The sequence below is a fragment of the Homo sapiens genome, chromosome 2 (assembly GCF_000001405.40).
Source record: "Homo sapiens chromosome 2, GRCh38.p14 Primary Assembly".
Lineage (NCBI taxonomy): Eukaryota > Metazoa > Chordata > Mammalia > Primates > Hominidae > Homo > Homo sapiens.
In genome coordinates this window covers 217,544,690-217,571,271 of record NC_000002.12, presented here as the reverse complement: position 1 = coordinate 217,571,271, position 26,582 = coordinate 217,544,690, and the positions used below count along the sequence as shown (strand labels likewise).

At 41.4% G+C, this 26,582-nt stretch overlaps 1 long non-coding RNA gene across 12 annotated transcripts in view, besides 2 other annotated features; it reads left to right on the top strand.

Moving 5' to 3' along the window:
- The window catches only part of DIRC3 (disrupted in renal carcinoma 3), a 506,425-nt gene that overhangs the window by 219,172 nt on the left and 260,671 nt on the right, over positions 1-26,582 (top strand). For 2 of the 12 annotated variants that reach the window (NR_186299.1, NR_186300.1), the window contains 2 exons: positions 5,050-5,164; positions 5,442-5,639. The exons of the other annotated variants lie outside the window; for them this stretch is intronic. This is a non-coding gene — a long non-coding RNA (disrupted in renal carcinoma 3). The remainder of the gene's footprint in view (positions 1-5,049; positions 5,165-5,441; positions 5,640-26,582) is intronic. 12 annotated transcript variants of the gene reach the window in all.
- Positions 15,599-16,199: an enhancer, noted in NCBI's record as "OCT4-NANOG-H3K27ac hESC enhancer chr2:218419796-218420396 (GRCh37/hg19 assembly coordinates)". NCBI's record gives its function as "activates a minimal SCP1, AML or CMV promoter by ChIP-STARR-seq in naive H9 embryonic stem cells {active_cell/tissue: H9 hESC(naive)}" and the evidence as "EXISTENCE:reporter gene assay evidence [ECO:0000049][PMID:30033119]".
- Positions 19,250-19,818: an enhancer, noted in NCBI's record as "OCT4-NANOG hESC enhancer chr2:218416177-218416745 (GRCh37/hg19 assembly coordinates)". NCBI's record gives its function as "activates a minimal SCP1, AML or CMV promoter by ChIP-STARR-seq in naive H9 embryonic stem cells {active_cell/tissue: H9 hESC(naive)}" and the evidence as "EXISTENCE:reporter gene assay evidence [ECO:0000049][PMID:30033119]".

The following is a 26,582-nucleotide window of genomic DNA, read 5'->3' as shown; positions in this document are numbered from 1 at the left end:
ATATGTGTGTGTGTATGTTTGTGTGTGTGAAAGAGAGGCAGAGAGATAAAGAGACAGAGACAGACAGAGAGATACTCAGAGAGAGAAACACAATTTAGATGATGCAAGTGGTTCTGGCCACCATCCTACCCAGTGAACAGGTAATGGGAAATGGACTTCTAGTGTTATTCTTACAACAGGCCCCAAACACAAGACTACTACTTCTTTTGGTGCTCAGGTGGCCCCTCTATCTCTGCAGGAATCATAGGCCCTACTGAACTTATGGTGGAACAGGTTCTCTGTTTCAAATATGGCCCCTCTTGAAGAGACTTCCAGGGATCACTTTGACTCTGCTTAACATTGACCCTAGGCACTGCCTTTGGAGCCTAAGCCCAGGACGAGTCATGCTGCACCAATCAACATGGATTCCTGACTCTTCCTTGGTGAGTCTTTTCTTCTAGGCTCCAGACCCTTACACCAGCTGTGACATACTCAACTTGTCTAAAAATAATTTTATCTTCATGTTACTCTCCCAATCCTGTGCTTTCTGTGTCCTTTATTGGCACATTCTGAAAAACCTCAAAGTCATCTTTGGATCTTTTCAATCTCAATGCTTCCTTACTCTTTAGGACCCTGGGGATTTCTCTTCTGGACTTGGATAATAGTTTTCCAAGAAATCTCCTCCCCCAGTTCCTCCATGTCCTGGCTAGAAAGCTCTATCTAAAGAGAAGAACCAATTGTACTGCTCCCTTTCTCAAAAACATTTCTTGACTCTGCATGGTATACAGACTGGAGGCCCAAACCATCAATTTCATCTCTGAACGAAATGCCATTTTCCTGGTGCCAAAACTTTGCTCGTGCTGTTCACAGAGCTTGGAATACATTTTCCCCTCCTCAGAATATCAAATCCTTCTTAGCGGTCAGGACCCAATTCAGATGACGCCTTCTCTGTAAAACTTTCCTGATCACCTAGGTGCAGGATTAATGACTTCCACCTGGGTTCTTATTGTGTTTTGTTTATATTTCTGTTGTGACACTTAGCACAGTCTGGCTGGTGGTTACTATGTAAGACTTTGTCATCTCTACAAGGTGGAGAGCAGGGTTCCATGTCTCAGTGCCTTAGTTGTCTTTGAGTCCTTATCCTCCTCATTCACTCAGGGCTCAGCCCAGTAATGTACACACATATAATTTTCTACAAATGTTTGCTGTTGAAGTGCATTTGTGTTGGGTGTCATTGGACTGAAAGATTTTTGGGTGGCAGGTGTGGTTCTTTTAAAAAGAACTTCTAGATCCTCATCTGGTTCCAAGGCAGGCCAGGCTTTGAGAAAAAGAGATCCTATCTCTAGTTAACTGTGGTGTGTGCCACCCCTACATCAGGCTCATATTCCCTTCTGGAGTCAGTTGCCCAAGACTAACTAGATCCACAGTCCACACCTGCTGAACTGAAGCCACTAAGGACTTGGTTGAATATTGGCTGATAGCACAGAGAAGTTGTACAAGATGCCTAGTATCACAAAGCTCATCAACAGGGAGGAATGAATAAGCCCCTTGGTTCGCTCCAGACTCACAGCAAATGTCAAAAAATAAACATTGATTTTCCAAATCATACATCTTCCCTCCTTGAATGGTCATTTTCTCTCCTCTGCCTGATCCTCACTCTGCTTTTGGGGAGACATAGGAAGCAAGAAGACTACACCTTGACTTCTTAAGAAATCTACTTGACACAATGATTACTTTCTCAAATCATCTTTCTTCAGTTTTTGACCGCTCTCCCATTTCTCAGTCCTTTCTTCTTGGCCTTCATTTCCAGCACCTCATTCTCTGCCCACCACTGGACCATTGGTGTTCCCATGACTTGCTCTTCTTGCTTTTCTGTTGACTCCCATGGCTTCCATTTGCATCTCCACACTGAAGACTCCCATATCTCTGACCTTGGTCCAGACATTATAATTCCTGCCTTCCCAGATCTATAAAACACCTTCAAATACAGCATCTATTTTTTTATTGAATCTAATTTTCATCAGAGAATTCTTATTTCCACCTTACAGATGAAAATGTTGAGACTCAGAGTCAAAGGAAAGACTTTTCCACAGTGAGGCAGCCACACTGGCAGGACCAAGACTGGGACTCCTTGCTCTTTGTGGAGGGCTGTGGTCACTTTAGCCATGACCTGGGATTTTTCACTTCCTCAGGACCAGGTATGGAGCTCCACTTCAGAACCAGAATACTCCATCTTGGTAAGATGAGAGGCACTCCACACCTATTCCTTTCTTTTTGGTCCTCATAAAAATTTCTTTCTCCTTGACATTCCTCTACCATATGGAATCTATTTACTCATGAGAAACTCAGCTTGGATGCCACATCTGTTTTCTTGCTTTCTACTCCAAATTTCTCAGCTGAGTTTGCAAGCAGGAGGGAGTCAAAACATTTGTAGAGTTAGCTGTGGTGGTGGAGGTGGTGGCAGTGTGTGTGCTAGAGGGAAAGTGTGTTGATGAGAGAACTGCTTGCTGTTGCTATGCAGACCTTGATTACTCTCAGACTTTAGTAACCATAGAAGTCAGGGTGGGATTTCAGTTTCTAGGCATCTCAAGATTTATTGAAGAGGTCAGCCTTGTTCCTCACCACATCCTGCATTCATTCTCTCTCCTGATAGGAGGAGGCCTGGGTGGCTTGCCCTCCTGGTCATGTTCTTCAAGGGGAAGCACTCCCTCCTCCCATTTGTCTCCAGCTCCTACCAGGCCAGATTTTGGGCCTGACCTGGAATGGAGGTCTCTCTGTCTTCTCAGTCCCTCTTCCTCATTGCTCAGAGCCCTTGGGGAGTGTGAACCCTGTCCCTGCACTGCCTCAGCTCCGTGGAATGCTTTTCATCCTCAGCCTGGGTGAGCCGACAGTCTTCCTATTTGAAGCTCAGCTGAAAGTCCCACTTGTTTCTTTTGGCTTCTCCTTTTGTGCCCCTCCAGGGCCGATTGATGGCTGTGTGCATCTGGACTCTTCTGATTCCTGTGCACACGGGCGAGGGCCTCAGAACATCCCAGAAGAGTTAGGTGATGTGTAGATAGCTTGGGTCCAGTTTCTTTGGCTTAGAGGGGAGGAAAGGGAGGTCCTCCCTGGTGAAGAGGCCTACTCAGGGCCATACATCCAGTTAATCAGCAGAGTTAGAATACAGGCATTCCAACCCTGGCATGGTGTTTCCCCCCCACCCCCAGGGGTATAACCAGACAAGGATAAAATGATGGGAAATAAGTGTAAGAGAACCATATGCAAGGTCAAGCTTTTAGGACATTAGCCCTTTAGCAGAAAATTTAAACCATTGGTTCCCATTCAGATATTCTGGACTACTCATGGATTCACTAGTAGCCTGTGTTCTTACACATGGAAAGGAACGAGGGGACCCTAGGAAGAAAGCTGCTCCTCCTTTGGGTTTGGGCAGCATCCAGGGTCACGGCGTCCTTGGGCCAGTTGGCTTCACCTGCCTAAGCTCCTTCAGGGGCAAAACAAGCCAAAGGCACAGCCTGTGTCCCAGGGGAACTCATGGTTTTGTTGAAGAGACCAGAATCATGGAAATAAAAGTGGCCAAACAGTCTAAGCTAGCCTTACCAATCAGCTGAGAAGCCAGTGGTCATTAAAGTGGGGGTGAGGCATCCTCAAGATGGCAAGCTCCCAGTGAAAATAATCTACCACCCAGCAAGTGCTCAGCACTGATGCTGAAGAAGTACCACTGCCAATGAACCACCTTTCTATCCAGTGGTGTCCTTTGTCAGGAAGCAAAATATTTGGGAGAAAGTAAGACCTAGAAGAGAAGACAGTGGATGCAAACCTAGAAGGAGGACAGATGAGCTCAAAGAAAAGGGACTGAACTTGGAGTGGAGGAGGTGCCTGAGACAGAGGATGCTGATATAACAGGTGTGAGTTGCTCTACAGTACTTGAGGTATGGAGTGGGAATTGCCTTTATTCTTTTGCTAAATTTATTCTTATAATAACATTCTTGTACCTCCAACAAAATCCACATCCCATCTCCCAGGATAGATAAAGTCCATTTTATTGTGCCTGTCTTCCCTTTTATTTTAAAGGTTGCATTTTCTCTTACATTATGCCAGAAAATATGGGAAAGTTCTCTGATCAACCATCTTTTAGGAATTATTCTGAAGATACCCCCTAGACAGGTCTACATGACAAATTTAAATTTAATTTTTCAGATACCAAATTTGGCTGTAGGACCTTGTCCCAGCTCTCAAAGACGCAGTATGTAATACTTAGTCCCTGGCCAATCATGCAGGAGCCCTATCTGAGGTTCATTTGGGATGCAGCCTTTGAGTAAAGGCACAGGTTCATGCCCTCCTAGAACTTGCCCCTAATTTTTCATCCCAGTTATGGAAAATCCCATTGTTTCCTCTCTGTAACTGGGCCAGTGTTCTCTTCCTCCTGGACAGCTGATCCCATCTCCTCGTCTTCCACAGATAGTCTGGAAATGTTTCAGTTAACCTGGACCTTCAAAAACAAAACCTGTTTTGGGTGACTTTCAGAAATCTGAAAACTTCTCTTTTCTTTCTCCTGTTCCTCCTCCTTTTCCCCTTTATCCTCATACCTCCTCCTCCACCTCCTCTATCAACTCTTCCTCTTGTTTCTTCCTTCTCTTTCCTCCATCTCTTCCTCCTCCTTTTTCATTCTCTTCTTCATCATGAAACACACAGGAAAGTTTTTAACCCCACCCCAAACTTACAAACACAGAGACTGGAGAAGGTGGCCGATAGCTCCCAGCTTGGACAGCTCTGATTCTAGGATTCTAAGCAGCTCTCCAAATGTTGACTCAAAACGAAAAGACCCACATCTCTTCTTAACATTGACTTATTGATATGGTTTGGATCTGTGTCCCCACCTAAATCTTATGTTGAATTGTAATCTCCAATGTTGGAAGTAGGACTTGGTGGGAGGTGATTGGATCATAGGGGTGAAGTTCTCATGGATGGTTTAGTACTCATCCCCTCTTTGTTCTGTCTAATGAGTGAGTTCTCCTGAGATCTGGTTGTGTAAAAGTGTATAGCCCCTCCCCCCACTTCTTCCTGCTCCAGCCATGCAAGATGTGCCTGCTTCCCCTTCACCTTCCGCTATGATTGAAAGTTTCCCAAGGCCTCCCCGAAGCCAAGCAGATGCCGTCATCATGCTTCCTGTACAACCTGCAGAACTGTGAGCCAATTAAACCTCTTTCTCCCCTTTTCTTTATAAATTACCCAATCTCAGATATCTCTTTTATTATTATTATTATTATTATTATTATTATTATTATTTTTGAGACAGAATCTCGCTGTGTCACCAGGCTGGAGTGCAGTGGAGCGATCTAGACTCACTGCACCCTCCGCTTCCTGGGTTCAAGCTATTCTCCTACCTCAGCCTCCCGAGTAGCTGGGACTATAGGTACGTGCCACCATGCCCAGCTAATTTGTGTATTTTTTTTTTTTTTTAGTAGAGACAGGGTTTCACCATGTTGGCCAGGATGTTCTCCATCTCTTGACCTCGTGATCTGCCGGCCTCGGCCTCCCAAAGTGATGGGATTACAGGTGTGAGCCACCGCGCCCAGCCAATCTCAGATATTTCTTTACGGCAATGCTAGAATGGACTAATACACCATCTTCTCTTGGCCTCCTCCTCACATTGTGGCAAGGTAGGAAGAAAGGGATTCAGGGTCAGTGAGATAACATCTGTGGAAGAGCCTCGGTAGGGATATCTGCTCAGCAAGACAAGGGGCACTCTTGTTATTCCTGGGCTTCCTGAGGCTGCCCAGGTAACTCGGCCCTTTCATCTTAATGATGCTGCATATAACTTCTTTCTCCTAGAGTTAAGGTTTTTCTTGAAAGAAATAATTAGCTTGTACTTTTAAACCTCTCCAGTGACTTCTTTCTTCTTTGAAATACTAACCTGGGATTGTCTCCTTCAGAGAATAAAATGATGATAGCAATTTATTTCCTAGCTAGAGCCAGGCCAATTACTACATGCCCTATGCCCAGAACTTTATTTGTAAAAAAGATCTCTAAAGTCTTGTTCAGCTCTAATGTGTCCTGAAATTCTATTACCAAGGTTTTTTCTTCCAATGCTCTTTGTTTGGGGTTTCCATAGTAGGGAAAGGGGTCAGGTGGGAGGGATCAGAGGTAGAGACCCTGCAGGCAGAAGCTTGGAGGTCTAGGGTGCTTTGAACTCTTGTCTGTCTAGCAGACAGGAGGAAATCTTTGTAGGCCCTGAGAGTCAAGCCTCCATCCACAAAGAGAATGGAAGAAGTTTCTTTATCATGGAATTTTAGTGTTTCATTTGCCTTTATGATGTCTCAAGGATGCTAGGAAGAATAGCTTACTGATGACACAGTTTCTTGTGTGTGTATAGCACAAAACTTCATTGATTTTCCCTTTCAGAGATGATTTTAGTGCCCGTACTTCTTGTCCATTTCTTTTCTTATTCTTTTACCAATTTTTTTTTGTTTTTTGTTTTTTTTTTTCACTGAAACTTCTATGAGGAATGTAAGGCAAGGATTGTCATCAAAGACTTAGAATGAGAGTAACAGAAGACATGTTAGAGATCAGCTGTGTCTAACCCTTTAATTTTATGGATGGAAAAACTGAAGTTCAGAGAGTAGGTAGAGTACCTGTAAAAGGTTATACAGGTAGATTTTGGTGGAATTGAATTGAATTGATATTAAACTCAAAGTATCCTGAATTTTTTGCCTTTTCTTTTTCGTAGCTTTGGATATCAAGATTTTGATATATTCACAGAAATATGTGCAGGTTTGGGAAGTTATAAAGCCTGTGATCATGAAAAAGCACTTAAATTAAAGGCAAATTTAAATTCTACCATAATTTGGGTCCAAATTCCCTATTTATATCTTCTACAGAAATGAAGAGTGGTGGTGAGTAACTTCTCAGTTAGGCTACAACCCGAGGCATCTCTTCTTCAGGGGCATACGGTTTGGTTTTGTTTTGTTTTGTTTTGTTTTTTGGGACAGAGTCTTGCTCTGTCACCTAGGCTTGAGTGCAGTGGCATGATCTCAGCTCACTGCAACCTCCGCCTCCCAGGTTCAAGCAATTCTCCTGTGTCAGCCTCCCGAGTAGCTGGGATTACAGGTGCCTGACACCACGCCCAGCTAATTTTTGTATTTTTAGTAGAGCAGGGGTTTCACCTTGTTGGTCAGGCTGGTCTCAAACTCCTGACCTCAGGCGATCCACCTGCCTCAGCCTCCCAGAGTGCTGGGAATACAGGCGTGAGCCACTGTGTCCAGCCAGTTCCTTTTCTTTAAGTTTTCCCTTTCTCTTCAAATGTAAGGCAATTCAGGGTCTTGCACAGAGCTCTTGTACAAGAGTCTGAGGAAAGCTGAGTCTTAAACTATGGCCAAGTGTTCCCATGTCCAAAAGGAGATGCTTAACTGTTTGGTGAGTGGAAGGTTAGAACATGTTTTTCAGTCGTTCAGCCAAAAGAAGTGAGCACTGACAATGTGGGAGTGGGACTTTACTTCATGAGGTTTGTAATCGAAGGTAACTTCATGCTACCTCAGCATTTATCTAACAGTTTTATCTATCTAGCTTCTGGCCTGTGATGTACTCAGCTTGAACAAGTTGCTTCAACTTGCTCACACATAAATAAACTGCAGTCTTCTGGAATGTAGAATGAAAATAAAAATAATACCTACGTCCTAGGGTTGTTAAGAGGAATAAATGAACTATTGCCTGCACAGCATCTGACACATACAGTAAACAATCTACAAGAATAATTTTTATTGCACTTGTTTCTTGACAACAAGTCTGCAAGAACTCTCCTTAATTTTTTTTTTTAAGGATTAACCCATGACTTATTTAGTGGGCTTGATGGCACATGAGCTGGGGGTGGTGTGGGGGAGCTGTGAGTCTACGTTCTGTGCCTTTCTTCCTAATGTCTGTTAACCAGCATTCTAGGGCCTTCCCTTGGGTCATTTCTTGTGTGAAGGACTGCCAGATTTATCTTCTCTCTGATAGACCAGGACACCAGGCCAATCTCACTTTCTTCGCGGCCAAGCCAGAAGAAATCCAATTGGAGGGAGACAGCTCACCACCCTTCATGCCTGTAAATGAGAGCAGCTCTCTTCCCTCACCCAGGGCTAAGTTATTCTGAGGCTATAAAAAGATCCCTGTCCACTTCAAAGGGCTTTTTATCAGCTCATCCATACAGATCTTGTTCAACTCTTCTCATTTTCAAAGGCAGAAGGAAGCCCCTTGGCTGAACCCCCCGGTAGGCTCTTACCTTCCTTGAAATATCTTTAACTTCAATTAAACTGATCCTTCTTGGCTCCATTTAGCAAATAGGTTGTCTTCAAAAAGAGTTCCCTGATACCACTCTCTCCATCTTAACCACCCCCACCACCACCCTACCCTTCCAGTTAATGTCACATCATTTTGATCTGCAGGCAAATGTATGCAGAGTTGAGCAATGTGGCCTGATGCTGTTGGATCTTTTAAATCTACTCTTGTTTTAGAACAGCTGGCTCTAAAGCACTTTTGTGCCTTTAGAAGAGGGGCAGTAAAGGAAGCCTTGACTTGCAAATTAACAGCCTGGGCTTTCTAGGTCTTGTTCCCCATAGATCTCCTGAATGAAACTGGTCAAGTCTGAGTTTCATTTTCCTATAAGTAAATCAGGGAGCTAAGTAGAATCATCCACAATGATCTGTGTCATGGTTATCTTGCTGTAATTGCCTTTTTCTAAGCCTGTCTCCCTAGTAGAGGGTGTGCTGCCTGAGGGCAGGAAAAGTTGTTGGATCTCTGTATCCAAATTTCTCAGGAGACATTTGTTGAATGAAGGAGCCTGAGCTGTCCTCTGGTACACCTTTCCATTCTATCCAGGTCTAGCCATGCACAATGTCTGTGTCTCCTTAGCTTTGTTCAGCTTCAGCATCTCCCCAACACTTAGCGGCCTCCCTCTGCTAGGAGGACAGGCTCTGGGTGATTTGGCACAATTCCACTCTAGGAGGCAGATCAATCGATTGCTGAGCTCCCTGGCTCTTCCCACCTCTTCCAGGTTGGATGTAGCTTTTGACAAAAAGAGTCAAACTCTGTAAAATATTTGAAGAGATTTATTCTGAGCCAAATATGAGTGACCATGGCCCGTGACACAGCCACAGCCTCAGGAGATCCTGAGAACATGTACCCAAGGTGGTTGGGGTGCAGCTTGGTTTTATACAGTTTAGGAAGACATGAGAGTTCAATCAAATACTATTGGGGGAACCAGCCCCCAATATTTCAACATAGGTTCTTTCTATTTTCCCTAAGTGTCGGCCAGTCTGAGAAATAAAGAGAAGGAGTACAAAGAGAGAAATTTTACAGCTGGGCCTCCAGGGGTGTCATCACATATTGGTAGGACCATGATGGTGACCCCAAGCTGCAAAACCAGCAAGTTTTTATTAGGGATTTTAAAAGGGGAGGGGGTGTACAAACAGGGAGTAAGTCACAAAAATCACATGCTTCAAAGGGCAATAAAGATCACAAGACAAGGCAAAATTAGAATTACTGATGAGGGTCTGTGTCCCGCTGTGCATGTGTTGTCTTGATAAACATCTTAACAGGAAACAGGATTTGAGAGCAGACAACTGGTGTGACTAGAATTTACCAGGCTGGAATTTCCCAATTCTAGTAAGCCTGAGGGTACTGCAGGAGACCAGGGCGTATTTCAGTCCTTACCTCAACTGCATAAGACAGACACTCCCAGAGTGGCTGTCTATAGACCTACCCCCAGGAATGCATTCCTTCCCCAGGGTCTCAATTATTAATATTCCTTGCTGGGAAAAGAATTCAGCAATATTTCTCCTACTCGCATGTCTGTTTATAGGCTCCCTGCAAGAAGAAAAATATGGCTGTATTGTGCCTGACCCTGCAGGCAGTCAGACCTTATGGTTATCTTCTCTCATTCCCTGAAAATCGCTGTTACTCTGTTCTTTTTCAGGGTGCACTGATTTCATATTGTTCAAACACACAATCAGTTTACAATCAGTTTTACAGTCACTTTTATTTTACAATCAGTTTTTACAATAGTGGTCCTGAGGTGACGTACATTCTCAGTTTACGAAGATAACAGGATTAAGAGATTAAAGTAAAGACAGGCATAAGAAATTATAAGAGTATTAATTGGGGAAGTGATAAATGTCCATGAAATCTTCACAATTTATGTTCAGAGACTGCAGTAAAGACAGGCGTAAGAAATTATAAAAGTATTAATTTTGGGAACTGATAAATGTCCATGAAATCTTCACAATTTATGTTCTTCTCCCTCGGCTCCAGCTGGTCCCTCCGTTCAGGGTCCCTGACTTCCCACAACAAAATACATTTAAGAAATACATTGGTTTGGTCCAGAAAGGCAGGACAACTTGAAGCGTGGTGAGAGGGTGGGGGGTGGGGGGGTGGGGGAGGTGCTTTCAGGTTATAGGTAGATTTTAAAATGTTCTGATTGACAATTGGTAAAGTTTATCTGAAGACTTGGGATCAATAGAAAGGAAATGTCTGGGTTAAGATAAAAGATTGTGGAGACCAAGGTTCTTATTGTGCAGAGGAAGCCTTCAGGTAGCAGGCTTCAGAGAGAACAGCTTGTAAATGTTTCTTATCAGACTTAAAATCTGTGTTGATATTACGCTGGAGAGGTATAAGGAGACATGTCTGGCACCCTCTTCCCATCATGACCTGCACCTGTCTTTCAGGTTAAATTTTAAGGGTGCCCTGGCTGATGAGGAAGTCCATTCAGTTGGTTGGGGGGCCTTAGAATTTTATTTTTGGTTTACATAGCCTTACATTTCTGGTTGAAGGATCTCACTTTCCCAGTTACTTTTGAAGGGTTCAGATGACACAGCCCAGAACAACAGAAAAAATAACTCCCCAATGATCAAACTTTGACCAATGGGAGAGAGGAAATGGGAAGGTGTCTGCAGATAAATTCCTGATTTTTCTTCTCTCCAATGGTATTTTTTTTTTTTTCTGTACAACTTGTGCAAAGATGTCCAGTGGGATTGAGTGACACTTTGGGCTTCTTTGATAAGACACCACTGCGGCTTCTCAATCTTTCTTGTCCTATGTCCTTTATCCCTTCTCTTGCTGCCCTAGGATTGCACCTATAAGTAAACTGTTAACACTTAAGTCTCTCCTCAGATCCTGTTTTCTGGGGAACCCATGTAAAGATGCCATCTATCCAAATCAATCTACCCCAAACATACTCATCCTTATAGGTTCATAGGAAGTTAGAACTAGAAAGGATAATGCTATTCAATTACTCGTTTTAATGGATAATGAAAAGAGGTCTAGAGAATGGAAGTGACTTGCCCAAAGTTAATGGGTGTATTAGGACTAGAATTCAGGGTCCCTAATTCTTAATCCAAAGTTGAGGAGTAGGAGCGTAGAAAGGGATGCAGAAGCATTTTCTTCTTCCTGTCTTGTGCAGGCGCTTCCCTGAGTGAAAGCTCTTTGGATTGGTGGCAGCACCAGAGTGGAATGTCTCATTCTTAGCTGGTTCCTGGGCCCCATGATTTGTCAATAATGTAGGGAAATGTAAGTAAACCAGGACAAAAGATATTTCATACAAGGAGGATCTATCTGCATTTGACCAAGAAGATAGAGAGACTCCACCCCAAATGGGATTGAGAGTCAAGGAATTTGCCATACATAGGGGCTTCAGGAGCAGTGCAAACTAAACCAGTATCTTTACTTTCTGTTTTTAGAAATTATTATTATTTTATTTTATTTTAAAGTTCTAGGGTCCATGTGCAGGATGTGCAGGTTTGTTACATAGGTAAACGTGTACCATGGTGGCTTGCTGCGCCTATAAACCCATCACTTAGCAACTCTTCACCTAGGTATTAAAGCCTGACCTTTACTTTCTCATTGGACTTAACTGCTACCCTGGTTAAAAGCAAGGGCTGAAAAAGACCTTGAGAAGGGCTCTTTACAGCTAACAAGTGAGTCTTTGTGTACAGCATCATCTGAGCTCCTTCCTCTTTTTCCCAGAGATGAGACTAACAATCGTTGGTATGAGGGTTTAACCACATGACTGTTGTCTGTCTTTAGGATAAAGGAAGCAAAGAGAACAAGGAGCTTATAGACACACAGGATGGAAGGAGGCTTGGGGTTCATATGGTTAATTCGTCTTACTTTGTGCAGACTAAGAAACCAAAGACCTAAAGGTCATGTGACCTCCTTAGGGTCAGGCAGCAGATTGGGACAGACCTGGATTCTGAAATAGCTTAATTTTCTAATTGAGAAAGGGAATTTGGAAAAGAAACTTAAGTTTTCCAGAAGGCTGAATAGGGTATGAATCAGAAAGTGGACTCTCCCATCCTTTTCTCCCAGCTCCAGGACTGAAATGAAATACACACTCCTCGGTGTTCTATGTACCACTTTCATCCTCATGTGAAATTTTAGAATGTTCTGTGGTCTCAAATACCACAATGGTCCCTTCTTCTGCTGGCCCCTCTCTGAGCTGTGGTGGGAAAAGGGAATAATCTCAGGGAAACACTCGGGTGTTACAGTGAGGTAGACGATAGACCTAAGTCAGCTGACGAGGACCATCTCCCTAACAAGGACCTTGGGCAAGTCACATAACATCTCTGAGCCTGTTTCTTTATCTCTAAAGTGGGGATAAGAATATCTGATTCTCAGGGTGGTAGAGAGGAAAACATGAGACAAAGTACGTCTGAAAGTATTTATCTGGGTACTCAGAGAAACCAAATTAGGATAACTCGAAGAGGGCTTACTAAAGGACTCTTTACAAAGGTGTGGGCAGAGTTTGGAGAAATCACACAGATAAAGCAGCAGCCCAGTATTAGTAACATGGAGGGGTGGAGGCGAGGGAGGCCTGTTACAGCGCTGAGGCTAGAAGGGTGAGGAGAGGGAGCAGTCACCAGCACTTGGAAGAAGAGATTCAGTGGTCTGCAGAGAGAATTTTGGGTAAAAGCCCTTGACCTTCAACTGGAGGAGGCATCCAAACCAAGGTGACTTTGCAGAGAGGGAGTGAAGGAATTAAGCACCCTGACCCTCACTCTTCTTCTCTCCCTCTCATCTTCTCCCAGGGCTCTATTGACCAAACACAAGAGGGAATTGAAGGGCATGAGAGCCTGCTGATGTAATCCACACAAGTCAGCCTCCCAGAGAAGGAAGCAGAGTGGAGAAAGGTAGAGAGTCTATCTGGAAGGGCAAATGAGAAGATATCTGCACAGATCATGCCTGTTAAACTGCGAAGGAATTAACACAGTGCAGTGGATGCATCAGAGCCACCTTAATCAAAGCTTGTGTTCCCCTAGATGCTACAAATGTTTGCTGACTACTCTTCAGCACTTGCCCTTGCCTTTTAGGCCTTTTTTCCCCCAAAGCCATGCCTCCCTCCCAAGGATAGCCCATGTTTTATTTTCCTTATTTTGGACTTGAGGTCTCTCTCTAGAGAGTGACTGTAAATTCTAGCCCTGCTTTGATGGAGCTCCAAAGGAGGTGGCTGTGGATGTTGACAATGTGCCTTTCATGGAATACTTTTTCATCCTGGATGACAGCCTAATGCCTAAGTGTCTAACCCTGAAGTTTCCTCTCCCAGGAAACTTGTTTATACTGGCAGATGCCCTTGTGGCTCTTGTCTGACCTATGTCCAGTTTATTTCTACCAAGACAGCCCCTCTCTAGGAGAGCCTTGCCCAGGAGGAGAGTTAGGTCCAGGTGAGACACAGAGGAGGCAGCACAACAAAACCCATGGCATAGCAGAAGCAGTTAATTACTCACAGACCCCAGAGAGAAGACAGCATGCTGCAAAGCCAACAGGATGTTGGAGGCATCCAGGACACCTGCACTTAACCAGTCAGTGGGGAGCAAGAGGGACAAAAGGACCTGTAGGCCAAAGCTTTCACTGGGGTGCAGGGTGTTACCCAAGTAGGTTTCCGGGGGGAAGCTCTAATTGGTGAGTTTATAGCAAGCAGGCATGAGTTCTGTAGATTCACACTGTGACTGAGAGAAGGTCACTGTGGCATATCTGCACATTCCATATGCAATATGGGGGTGAGTCAAGTAGGTTGTATCTAGCTGTCCTATGGGGCAGTGGTCACCAGGAGGCAGTCGTATAAGGCAGATATCTGGTTCGATTACACTGAAGAATGAACTGAGAGGAGGCGGAGAAGTAGAAACCGAGTCAAGGGTGACAAAGCCCTGTTGCTGGTATGAGAAAGTCAAACCTATATTCAAAATGTATGCCAAGGCAACATAAAATGGTAAGAATTAACTACGGTCCGTATCTGCAACTGGTCTACACAGGACGTATAAAAGCCCAGCCTTATCAAATTCTAAACAACTCAGAAGGACCATCTCGCTTGTAGAGCTCCCTACAGGGTGGGTTGAGGTCTTTGCTGCAGCTGCATTGTGGTTCAGCTTCTCCCTCTGTTCAGTGTTGCTTCTTTTCCTCTCCTGTAGGTGTTGAGGTTGGGAGTGTTCCTGTCAATTCACATGTTCAACTCTGAGTCTGCTTCCCCGGAAAACTGATGTATGGCATGTAGTAACGCACTATTATTATTGACATGTAGATTTTGAGCAACTACCCTATGCCCCCTTGCACTTCAGCTACAGATGTGTAGTTCGTGCAGGTTGTATGGGAGCATCTAGCTAAATAAATCAAATGAGGGCTGAAATCCGTTCTGCACAACACTGCCGAAGCTGTTTGCCCTGGCATGGGGTTACCTTTTTTCTAATTTACGCAAAGTCTCTGCATGAGCTCATCAGCCCTGCTGTGGGCACTTTATTTTCAGTGAAGTGTCCCCAAGGAAGAAGCAGAAAGAAAAACCAAAATGCCTGGGATGAAGTTGCAGCATCTTCAGGAAAGTTAAGATTAGGTTGCAGCTTCTCAGAGACTCCAAGAAGATGACATTGAAGTTCACGTGAAACAAACCTCCTCTATCAGCCCCAAAGTGTTTTGCTTATGTTTCTTATTTCATCTTGGCTGGTCTTATTCACTGGAGTGTAGGCAGTTAGGGGTAACTTAGTAGGGATGGGACTTGCATCTAATTCTAAATATTATCCTCCTGCTCAAGAGATTACTTTTTCTTCCCTTGAAATTCAAAAGCCAGTTCTGCCTTTTCATGGTTCCTGGAGAAGACTGTTAGAATACCATTCATTCATCTTTAATTGTCTCATTTTCTAAGAAAATGAACTTGGGGAGGAAAGTGACATTCTCCAAGCCCTGTGGCTATCTAGTTACAGACTCTAGGTCAATTGCCTGACTTCTTGTTTAGAGCTCCTACTACAAAGCTCTATCAGGCTTCAGCCCCACTGAAGCACTCTGGATGGTGAAGAAGTTTCCAGGGAGCTGGAAGGGGCAACAGCAGTTTCCCCAGCAGACCCTGCTCCTCTTCCTCTTGACAATCCTAGAAGAGCACTGGCAGTGGGTGTGCTCCCTTCTCTGCTTGGCTCTCAGTAAACTTCTGAGCTCCCAGAGAAGGCTCTGCAGAGGCCACAGGGTGCAGACAGAGCTGTGCCTTTGATGTGGCTCCAGAGAGAGGCCACTCTCCTTGACCAGTGGCTGGAGCTCTATTTTATGTAGACATTTCCCATCTTTCCTTTTCATAAAACATTCCTGCAGGAGATAAAGTATTGTACATTTATAGTTTCGGCTTGCCAAGAACATCTCACTAGCTCATCTCATAAATCCTACCAAGCTTCCCTCCAGCAGCAAGTCATAGCCAGTCCTGCCAGGCCTGGGGCAGGCAGGATCACTGACGGTCCAGCCCACGGACATCAGGAGGCCACTCTGCACCCTTGGGAGTTTCTGTCTCCTCGTCCTTCCTGCCCTCTGAACTTAGAGTCTCAGCTTTCCCACAATCAACTCCTACCTCCAGAGATAATTTATATTCATTCTCTCTCTGCCTGTCCCCACCCCACCCAGCATTCCACCCTGCTTTGTTATTCTAAATTTACATTAAATGCAAGCTCTTTCTAGTCACTGATTCAGAAGGCTTGGCGCATGCTCATTCAAATCATAGTACTTAACTTTTTATAGATCAAAGCTTGTCTTCTTAGAAAGCCACGAGACTTGGGTAGATCCTTCCTCCACAACTAGCCGGAGTCTCAGCCTGCCTGCCTGCCTGCCTTGCAGAGAGATGGGAGGAGTTCTGGGGCCCAGAGCAGGTGGGAGGACAGACAAGCAGCCCTGTCTTCTCTTTCTACTCTCTCTTCTTCTGCCAGCACTGGGCTCTCTTTGAGGTTGGCTCTGGTCTTATCTAGATGCAAGTTCAACTAACACAAACTATTTCTCTGATTCTGAACTATTTTATCCTTTGGATGCTCTTTTGGTCTCTCTTTTTCAAGTGTTCTTTGTGCTGTCTGTCAATTACTCTATTTATTCTGAAGCCCCACCTCTGTCCCTATGTTCTTCCTGCCCATCTCTTCCCTTCCTTACAATCTCTCCATCTCACAAGACTACAGGAATAGTAGAATGTTATTGGAGGTTGGGCATTCCCAATCTGAAAATCTAAAATCCAAAATGCTCCAAAATTCAAAATTTTTGAGTGCCAGTACGGTACCATAAGTAGAAAATTCCACACATAAGGGCTTTAACACAAACTTTTTTTCATGCACAAAATTATTAAAAACATTGTTTGACATTGCCTTCATGCTATGTGTATAGGGTGTATATAAAACCTAAGTAAATTTTGTATTTATACTTGGGTCCTATCTTTGCATATTATGTATATGCAGATATTCCTAAATCTGAAAGAATCTAAAGCCTGAAACACTTCTGATCTGGAGCATTTGAGACAAGGGATATTCAGCCTGTATCAGAGTTACTTTCAAGGTGAAGCCAGAGACTCTCATGTCACAGGAGAAGAATCCGAGGTCGGCAGGGTGGAGTGTCTTGCCTACTTAATCCAGGTAGTAGATGCCAAAGCTACAAATAAAATCTGCAACTGTTACTCCCTAATCAATGCTCTTTTTATAAGAGCACATTTCTTCTCTTTTCCTTTTGCTTTCAGGAATATGAATTCTAATCATTGGTTTTTGCTCAAACTTCTGTCTTAGCCTTCTTCAGCTTCTACCTGCGTCCCAATCCTGAAGTGGGAGAGAATAGGAGAAATTGAAGGATGAGAGTCTTGATCATCACCTTTGGAGCTTAGTTCCAAAGCCAAGTTTCATTTCTGATATGAGATACCACGGGTATGAGTCCTGGGCTGCCTTACACATCTGGAAAGCAAACAGTGTTAAAATAGCCTTATCTGCTGGATGGAGTGAATGTTGAGAAATATTTTCTGGATAAAGGAGAAAAAAGACATTTTGTTTCTTTCTGAGCCCCCAAGGAACAATGAACTGGAACCCTTTCTCTTGGAATGGGTGAGGAGATGGGGTGAGGGTAGCACCTCAGAGATTTCCAAGTAACTACAGGAGTTGTGATTCATTTTCTCTCTGGGAATGACACATGTCTGGTTCCTCCTTCTTTCTTCTCAAGAAACAACATCAAAGTTCTGGGTATTGCTGGGCAGCAGGATTGCTGCTCCCTCTGGGGAAACTGAAGATGACAGAGAGAAGGAAGGAAGGAGGGAGGGAGGGAGAGAGAGAGAGAGCGGGAGCGAGAGAGACAGAGAGAGAGAAAGAGAGAGAGAGAGAGCATGTCCCTCATTGCCTGAGGACACAGGAGGCCAGTGTAGAGAATTCACTTTTAGTGGCTCTTTGGACAGGGTAGAGATAATTTTCCAACATGGTAAAAGGCTCCAATGAAATAAGAGGAAAAGATTGGTTTGGGGATTTCTTGTGTCTTTGTCTTGTCATGCTTTGGGCCTAACCCACTGTAGGCCATTTTACTCCAGGTGCTAAATTCCCTGGGGAGGAAGGTCTTAGTATCTCCTGGGAACGTGGAGATCAGTATCTCCTGGGAACGTGGCAAACTTTTCAGAGTCCCGCATTTGAGAGTAACAAGCAGCAAGCAGGCAAATTCTCCAAAAGATAAGGTGATTTCATCATTGTGTGGGGACCCAACCTAATCAGCCGTGGAGCTGACTAGGAAAAACATGGCTTTTGAGCCAGACTGACCTACATTGAAATTCCAGATTTCTTTCTTATAACCACTTACTATCTTTGTAGGTCTTGGGCAAGGTATAACAAGGCCAAGTTTCCTCATCTGTAAGATGGGGCTAATAATGCTGGTCTCACAGGGCTATTGAGAGCAACACTGGGGGTCCTGAGTGTTTGGCATTATGCTTGGCCCAAGCAGGTGTCCAGGAAATTTCCATTGCCTTAATGCTTCACTTGCTTCCAATTCCACTTCAGCTCTTCTACCTCAAAAAACAACCTGGATTAGCTGAAATCCAACAATCTTGAACCCTCTAGTTACTGTGTTTTTTTGTGTTTGACTTTTAGGAGGGTGATAAGGAAAAAGCAAAACCAGATGACAATCTTTAAGGAACATCCTAGAGTCAAAAGAACTTGGGTTAGGGCTTGGGATGCCTGGGTCTGCCCCAGGCCCTCTCCTTTGCCCCGGGAAAGCTTCTTCTAATGTGTGGGCCTGGATGATCTCTCCTCTCCCCTCCAGCTCTGCTATTCCCTCTCTCTAACTTCTAGACCCTAACTGACACAGCATTCCTCTGTAAGCTACTTCATCTGCAAATAAGAGGTTTGGTGGAATTTGATCTATTGTCCTGAACAAAATTGCAAAGTGAGATCAGGCATTTTAGAAAAGATTTATAAATAGAGAACCCCAGTTAGGCATCCTAGAGAACCTTGGGCAAAGTTTTAGAATTATTACTTGCAGGTAGAATTTTGTGGGTGATAGGCTATTTTCTTTTAGTTTGACATAATCCCTGTGCTCTAGGGAATTTACAGTGTAATAAAGATGGTAAAATGCGACTTCCTTAATGGCTTTCCATTCTCCCCAAACCTTTAACACAGTCTGCAGAGCCTTGTTATCTGTCTTCTGTCCTGCTTCCCTCTCTCCGCTGCATGCTTCTCATTCCTCAAGAAGTGCTCTTCTCTCCTTTCCCTGAGCCTGAAATTCCCACCTCTGATTACCCTGAAGAACTCTTATTCATCCCTCAGGTGTCATCTCTGATGTCCTTTTCTCCAGAAAGTCTTCCCCAATCCTCCAGACCACACACGTTGTTCTGTTCCAGGCTCTTGTTTCCAACTATACATTTAGCTCTCACCACTATTATCACCAGATCACTTACCATGTAACCAGTTATTTAATGTCCATCTCCCCTTCGTGAACTTCACCTCCAAGAGGGTAGTGCTTGTCTTAGTCATCCTGGTAACCCCAGTATACAACAAAGTACTCTGCCATTGCAGGTACCTAATGGATATTTATTATATGAATGAATGAATATGAAAGGTTGAGTTTCACTGCAAGAGCCAGGTTATCACGTTAGACCTCAATACCAGGCACCACGCAATACCTGGTGCATTGTGTGACCACTGGAATAGAGGATGAATGCTGAAGGTTCAGAGATGTGGCGGCCACTGTAAATCAGCAAGGCTTCCTGGCTGTAGATCATAAGCCTGTGTGGGCCCCTTCATTCCTCTCACATTCCGAAACATCAGGGTTTAAATCTACAGACAGCTCTGCCCAGATTCCTAGGATGTTTTTATGGGCTAGAATACCAACATGAGTCAGCACTGCCCTTGTCATGCTAAGTTTATCAAATGGCAGATGCTGTGGTATATTGGCCAGAATTTGCTGACCTCTTATCATGGCTAGGTCATAGTACATGTTCCAATAGCTATTTTATAGTATATTCTCAGGGCCATACTTCCAGGATGGTGTTAATCCTCTTACTAACTTACAGCAGACAGCTAGCAGTTGACATGCCATATGAGCAACGTCATCCTTCTGGAATAATCTATAATGCTCAGGGGATCACCCCCTTCAGTACTTTCCATCTCACTGCAGATACTTCACATTAGGGCAGGTACTGGGTGGTGAGCTATGAGCATTGCTGCCTATAGTGAGTAGGACAGGACCAATAGGGGTCAGGGAAATATCAGTGGAAGAGCAGATATGACCCCTGTCTGCAGTAAAGACCATCCAAAAATGGGAGGCAGAACATCTGAGAAATTCTAAAAGATCTCTCTGTTATCATCATATGCTTAATGTGTGTGTTAGTGCTATTTCACCATAAACTATGCATAATAAATCTTTGTGTTGCTAACTACTTCTGAGCCTTATGAAAACGGGCATAGTGACTGTTCTATATATTCTTTTCTTCCTCTTAAAATCGAGGTATAATTGACATACAACAAATCACACATTTAAAGTTACACATTGGTAAATTTCACATGTGTATTTATTCACGAAACCATCACCACAATCAAGATAATTAACACATCCTTTACCCTCACGTTTTCTCATTTGCCCTTGTAGCCCCAGCCCCCTGCTCCCAAGGCCACCCCGTTCTCAGGCAGCCATGAGCTGCTTTCTGTCACTGTAGATAAATTTGCATTTCCTAGAATTTTGTATAAATGGAATCTTTTTTTTTTTTTTTTTTTTGAGATGGAGTCTCACTCTGTTGCCCAGGCTGGAGTGCAGTGGCGTGATCTCGGCTCACTGCAACCTCCACTTCCCGGGTTCAAGCGATTCTCCTGCCTCCGCGTCCCGAATAGCTGGGACTACAGGCACGCACCACCATGCCCGGCTAATTTATTTATTTTTTTTTTTTTTGAGACGGAGTCTCTCTCTGTCACCCAGGCTGGAGTGCAGTGGCGTGATCTCTGCTCACTGCAAGCTCCTCCTCCCGGATTCACACCATTCGCCTCCTCAGCCTCCTGAGTAGCTGGGACTACAGGCGCCTGCCGCCACGCCCGGCTAATTTTTGTATTTTTTAGTAGAGACAGGGTTTCACCACGTTGACCAGGCTGGTCTTGAACTCCCGACCTCAGGTGATCCACCCATCTCAGCTTCCCAAAGTGTTGAGATTACAGGTGTGAGCCACTACTGCCAGTCGATAAATGGAATCTTATAGTATGTGCTCTGTTATCTGGCTTCTTCTACTTAGCATTTTTTTTAGATTCATTCATAGTACTGTGTATATCAATAACTGATTCCTTTCTGTGGTTAAGCAGTAGTCCATTGTATGGTAAAACATGATTTGTTTATTTATTCATCTGCAGATGGACATTTAGATTGTTTCCAGTTTTTGACTACTACAAATAAAGCAGCTATGAACATCTGAGTACAAATACATGGATATATGCTTTAATTTATCTTTGGTAAATATCTAAAAGTGGAATGGCTGGATCACATGTTTAGTTTCTTAAGAAACTGCCAATCTGCTTTCCAAAGCGATTGTGCCATTTTACATTCCCACTAGCAGTGTGTGAGAATTCCGGTTGCTCTACATCCGTGACAACACGTTGTATGGACTGCCTTTAATTTTAAACATTCCAATGGATGTGTAGTAGTGTCTCATTGTGGTTATAATTTGCCTTCCCTAATGACTATTGATGTTGAACATCTTATCATGTACCTATTTGCCATCAGTATAGCTTCTTTGATGAAGTGTGTCTCGTATCTTTTGTCATTTTAAATTTTTATTTGCCTTTTTTATTATGGGTTTCGAGAGTTCTAAATATAGACTATATAAAGTTATTTTATCAGATATGTGATTTGAAAATATTTCCTCCCAGACTATGGCTTGCCTTTGTCATTACCTTAACAGTGTCTTTTAAAGTGTGGCAGTTTTTAATTTTGCTGAAGTCTATTGTTTTCTTTTATGGATGATTGTTTTGGTGTTGTACCTAAGAAACCTTTGTGTAACTCACAAAGATTTTACCATTTATTTTCTTCTGAAAGTCTTATCATTTTACTTTACGTCCGTGAACCACTTTCAGTTAATTTTTGTACATGGCATGAGGTATAAATGAAAGCTCCTTTTTTTTGCATGTGGATATCCATTTGTTTCAGCAGCATTTATTGAAAGATTGTATTTTCCCTTCCAAATTGCCTTTGTACCTTGGCAAAAATCACTTGTACGTATAGGTGTGGGTCTATTTCTAGAATCTCTCTTAATGTTTCATTGATCTATGTGTCTTATCTTTATGCCAACACCATAGCGTGTTGATTATTGTAACTTCATGAGTTTTGAAGTCAGGTAGTGTTAGACCTCCAACTTTTTGTTTTTATATTTTTCTAAAATAGCCAAAACATTTTTTTTGCATTTCCATTTGAAGTTTAGAATAATCTTGCCAATTTCTACAAAAAAGCCTGCTGGGATTTTTGATTGGGAGTGCATTGAATCTATAAGCTAATTTTGGGGAGAATTGAAATCTGTTTTAATCAGGGTTCTCCAGAGAACGGAACCAATAGGATGTCTGTGTGTGTGTGTGTGCGTATATACACACATTATATATATACACATATATACACACATTATATATATACACATTATATATACACACATTATATATATACACATTATATATTATATATACATATCTGAACATATATATGTATATATAATATATATCATGTGTATATATATAATGTGTGTGTATATATGTGTGTATATATTATATATAATATGGGTAGATGGATAGATAGATAGATAGATAGATAGATAGATAGATAGATAGATAGATAGATAGATAGATATATTATGAGGAGTTGGCTTGTGTGATTCTGGAGGCTGACAAGTCTAAGATCTAAATCCAGAGGCCTGAGAATCAGGAGAGCCAATTGTGTGAGTTTCAGTCTGAAAGTGAGAGCAGGCCAATGTCCCATTCAAGCAGTCAGGCAGGAGTTCCCTCTTACTGGAAGGTTGGTCTTTTTGTTTTATTCAGGCCTTCAACTGACTTGACAAGGGGCTCCCATATTAGGGAGGACAATCTGTTTTACTCAGTCTCCCAATTCAAGTGTTCATCTTATCCAAAAACATCCTCACAGATACACCCAGAATAATATTTTACCAAATATCTGGGCACCTAGTTGAGTTGACATAAAATTAACCATCACAATATCTTAAGAGTATTCAGTTTTCCATCCCTTGGACAAGGTGCATAGTTTCATTTATTTAGGTTTTCTTTAATTTCTTTCTGTAATGTTTTGTAGTTTTCAGTGTGTAGGTATGACACATATTTTGTCAGATTTATTCTTAAGTATTTTATATTTGGATGCTATTGTAAATGGTATTGTATCTTAATTTCACTTTTGATTGTACATTCCTGGTATATAGAAGTACAATTTTGCATATTGAACTTGTATACTGCAGCCTTATTAAGGTCACTTATTAGTCTACTACCTTTTTTTTGTAGATTCCAAGGGATTCTCTACACAGATAATCACTTTATCTGTAAATAAAGACAGTTTCTTTTTGCTTCATTTACAATACAGATACAATTTAGATGCTTTTAATTTTTTTCTCTTACTTTACCACGCTGGCTAGAACCTTCAGTAAAATGTTGAAATACTGAGAGCAGACATTTAATTTTGTTTCTGATCTGAGGGGCAAAGTTTCATTCTTTCACCATTAAGTAATATTGTAATCTGGTGTTGATATTAGGGTGATACTAGCCTCATAAAATAAATTTCAAAATATTCTCTCTTCTCCAAATTTTTGCCAAGAGATTAAGTAGAATTTATATTGTTCCTTGCTTCAATGTTTGGTAAATTTCACTAGTGAAGCTGTGCTTGGAATTTTCTTTATGGGAAGCTTTTAATCACAAATACATTTTCTTTTTGATATGGAGCCATTCAAGTTATCTATTTCTTCTTTAGTGAATTTTGATAGTTTTTGTCTTTCAGGGAATTTATCTATTTTATCTAACTTGTCAAAATCATAGGACTAAAGTTTTCCCTTTATTTTCCTTCCATTGTCCTTAGAATCCCAAATAATGTTACCTTCCTCACCCTATTCTTGATATAGATAATTGTGTACATCTTTGATTCTAGATCAATCTGGCTAGATGTTTATATATTTTATTGATGGTTCACAAAAAACAGCTTTTGGTTCCTTTTTTCTCCTGCTGTTTTTCTATTTTGTATTATATTGTTTTTTCTTCTGTTATTTGTCATTTCTTTTCTTTAGTTATTTTGGGCTTTATCTGCTCTCTCTTTTTCTTTTTTTTTTAGTTTCCTAATGTGAAATCTGAGGTCATTGATTTTTTACCTTTTCCCCCCTCAATATGGGCTTTTAGTGCTCTAAACCTCACAAATTTTGACATGTGTTTTAATTTTCATTCAGTTCAAGACACTTTCTGATTTCTCTTTTGGTTTATTCTTTGATCTGTAGATTATTTAGAAGTGTTTTATTTAGTTTTCAAATATTTGGCAAATTTTTGGATTGTTTGATGATTTATTTAATTCTATTGTGTTTAGGTAACATACTTTTTATGACTTGCTTCCTTTTAAATTTATTGTGATTTGTTTTGTAGCCCAGAATATGGCTATTTTGTAAATGATCTATGTGCATTTTAAAAGAATGTGTGTTCTGCTGTTCTTTGGTGGAGTGTTCTATAAATGTCAGGTCAGTTTGACAGTGTTGTTCAAGCCTCTTATATCCTTGATGATTTTTTATGTTCTTGTTCTATTAATTATTGAGATTAGGATGTTAAAATTTCTCTAAGATATTAAAATAACCCCTCCAGCTTTCTTATGACAAGTGTTAGTGTGACATAACTCTTCCCACTTTTACTTTTAATCCATTTGCATCTTTATACATAATGTGTTTCTTGTTGGCAGCAAATAGTTTAGTCTTGCTTTTCTATACAATTTGGAAATATCTGGCTTTAATTGGGGTATTTCAGCCATTTACGTTTAATATGATAATTGAGATGGTTAGATTAATTATCTTGTATTACCATTATTTTTGTCCTTTCCTTTACCTTTTTTCCTGTCTTCTTTTGGGTCAATGGAGTAGATTTTATGATTCTGTCTTACTTCTTTTGTTGGCTTATACATATAACTCTTTGTTCCTTTATTTTAGTGGTTGCGATATGACTTATAATATATGTCTTTAACTTATCACAGTCTACATTCAAGTGATATAATTCCCATTCACTTATAGTAGTAGTTGCCAAGGGTAAAATACTTTGCCTCAGGGAGACGTTTGGTTGGTAATGTCTGGAGAAATTTTTGGTTGCTGCATCTTGGGTGTTGTTACTGGCATCTATTGGGGGCAGGGGGCAGGGGTCAGGGATGGTTCCAACAGCCTACAAACCACAGGACTATTCCCACAGAACAAAGAATCCTTCATCCCAAATGTCAGTAATGTTATGTTGAGAAATCCTGACTCAGTGTAAAACCTTTACTATAGTATATTCTCATTTCCCCTTCATAAGTTTTTTGCTATTGTCATACATTTTACTTTTACAATATTATAAGCCCATGCTACATTTTTTATTATTTTTGTTTAAAGTCAGTTATCCTTTATGTAGAATTAAGCATTAATTTAAAAATCTTATATACATAATTATGCAGTTACCATTTTTGATGCTTTTCATCTTTATGTAGATCTATATTTCCATCTGGTACACTTTCCCTTTTGCTTGAAGGTCTTCATATTTTGTGTAATATGGGTCTGCTTGAAATAAATTCTTTCAGCATTTACATTTTGTAAAAAAAATAATCTTCATTTCAGTTGTGTTTTTGAAAGATGTTTTCACTAGGTATACAATTTTAGTTTTTTTTTCAGTACTTCTTTAAAGATGTTGCTCTGCTTTCTTCTCATTTGCATTGTTTCTGATAAGAAGTCTGCTGTCAACCTTCATTCCCCCATATAAAGCATCTTTTCTCTCTGTCTTTTTAAAATATTTTTTTCTTCATTACTAGTTTTGAGCAACTTGGTTATGTGGGGCCTTGCTGTAGTTTCCTTTTTGTTTCTCATGTTTGGTGTTGGTTGAGATTCTTGGCTATGTGGGTTTAGATTTTTCATCAATTTTATGTGGGTTTAGATTTTTCATCAATTTGTGAAAATTTTGAATATTATTTTTTTTCAGGTTTTTTTCTGTCTTCCTTCTCTTTTTTGGGCACTCCAATTATATTACCCATATGTTAGGCCACTTAACTTTATCACACAGCTCACTGATGCTCTTTCCATTTTTTAAAAATTCTTTTTCTCTGTATATTTCATTTTGGATGATGTTTAACACGGTACCTTCAAATTAATTAATCTTATCTTTTTTAGTATCCCATCACCCATTTATCTCATCCAGTAATTTTTTCATCTCAGATATGCTTTTTATATTCACAAGTTTTATTTGAGTGTATTTATCATCCATGTCCCTACTTAAATTTTGAAATATGAAATAAAATTATAACTATTTCAATAACCTTGTTTGCTACTTCTAATATATGTGTCAATTCGGGGTTGGTGTCAATTTATTGACCTTTTCCTTGCATTATGAGTCATAATTTTTTGTTTCTTGGCATATATGTAATCTTTGGCTGCCAGAGATTTTGAATTTCATCTTATTAGGTGCTGAATATTTTGGTAATCTTATAAATATTCTTGAATATTGTTCTGGCATACCATTAAATTATTTGTCAACAGTTTGTTATGTTTGAATTCTTCTGTTAAGATTTGTTAGAATCAGATTTGCATTTATTCTAGGTCTGATTATGCCTCACTCCTGGGGCAAGATCCTCCTAATACTCTACTCAATGTGAATTATGAG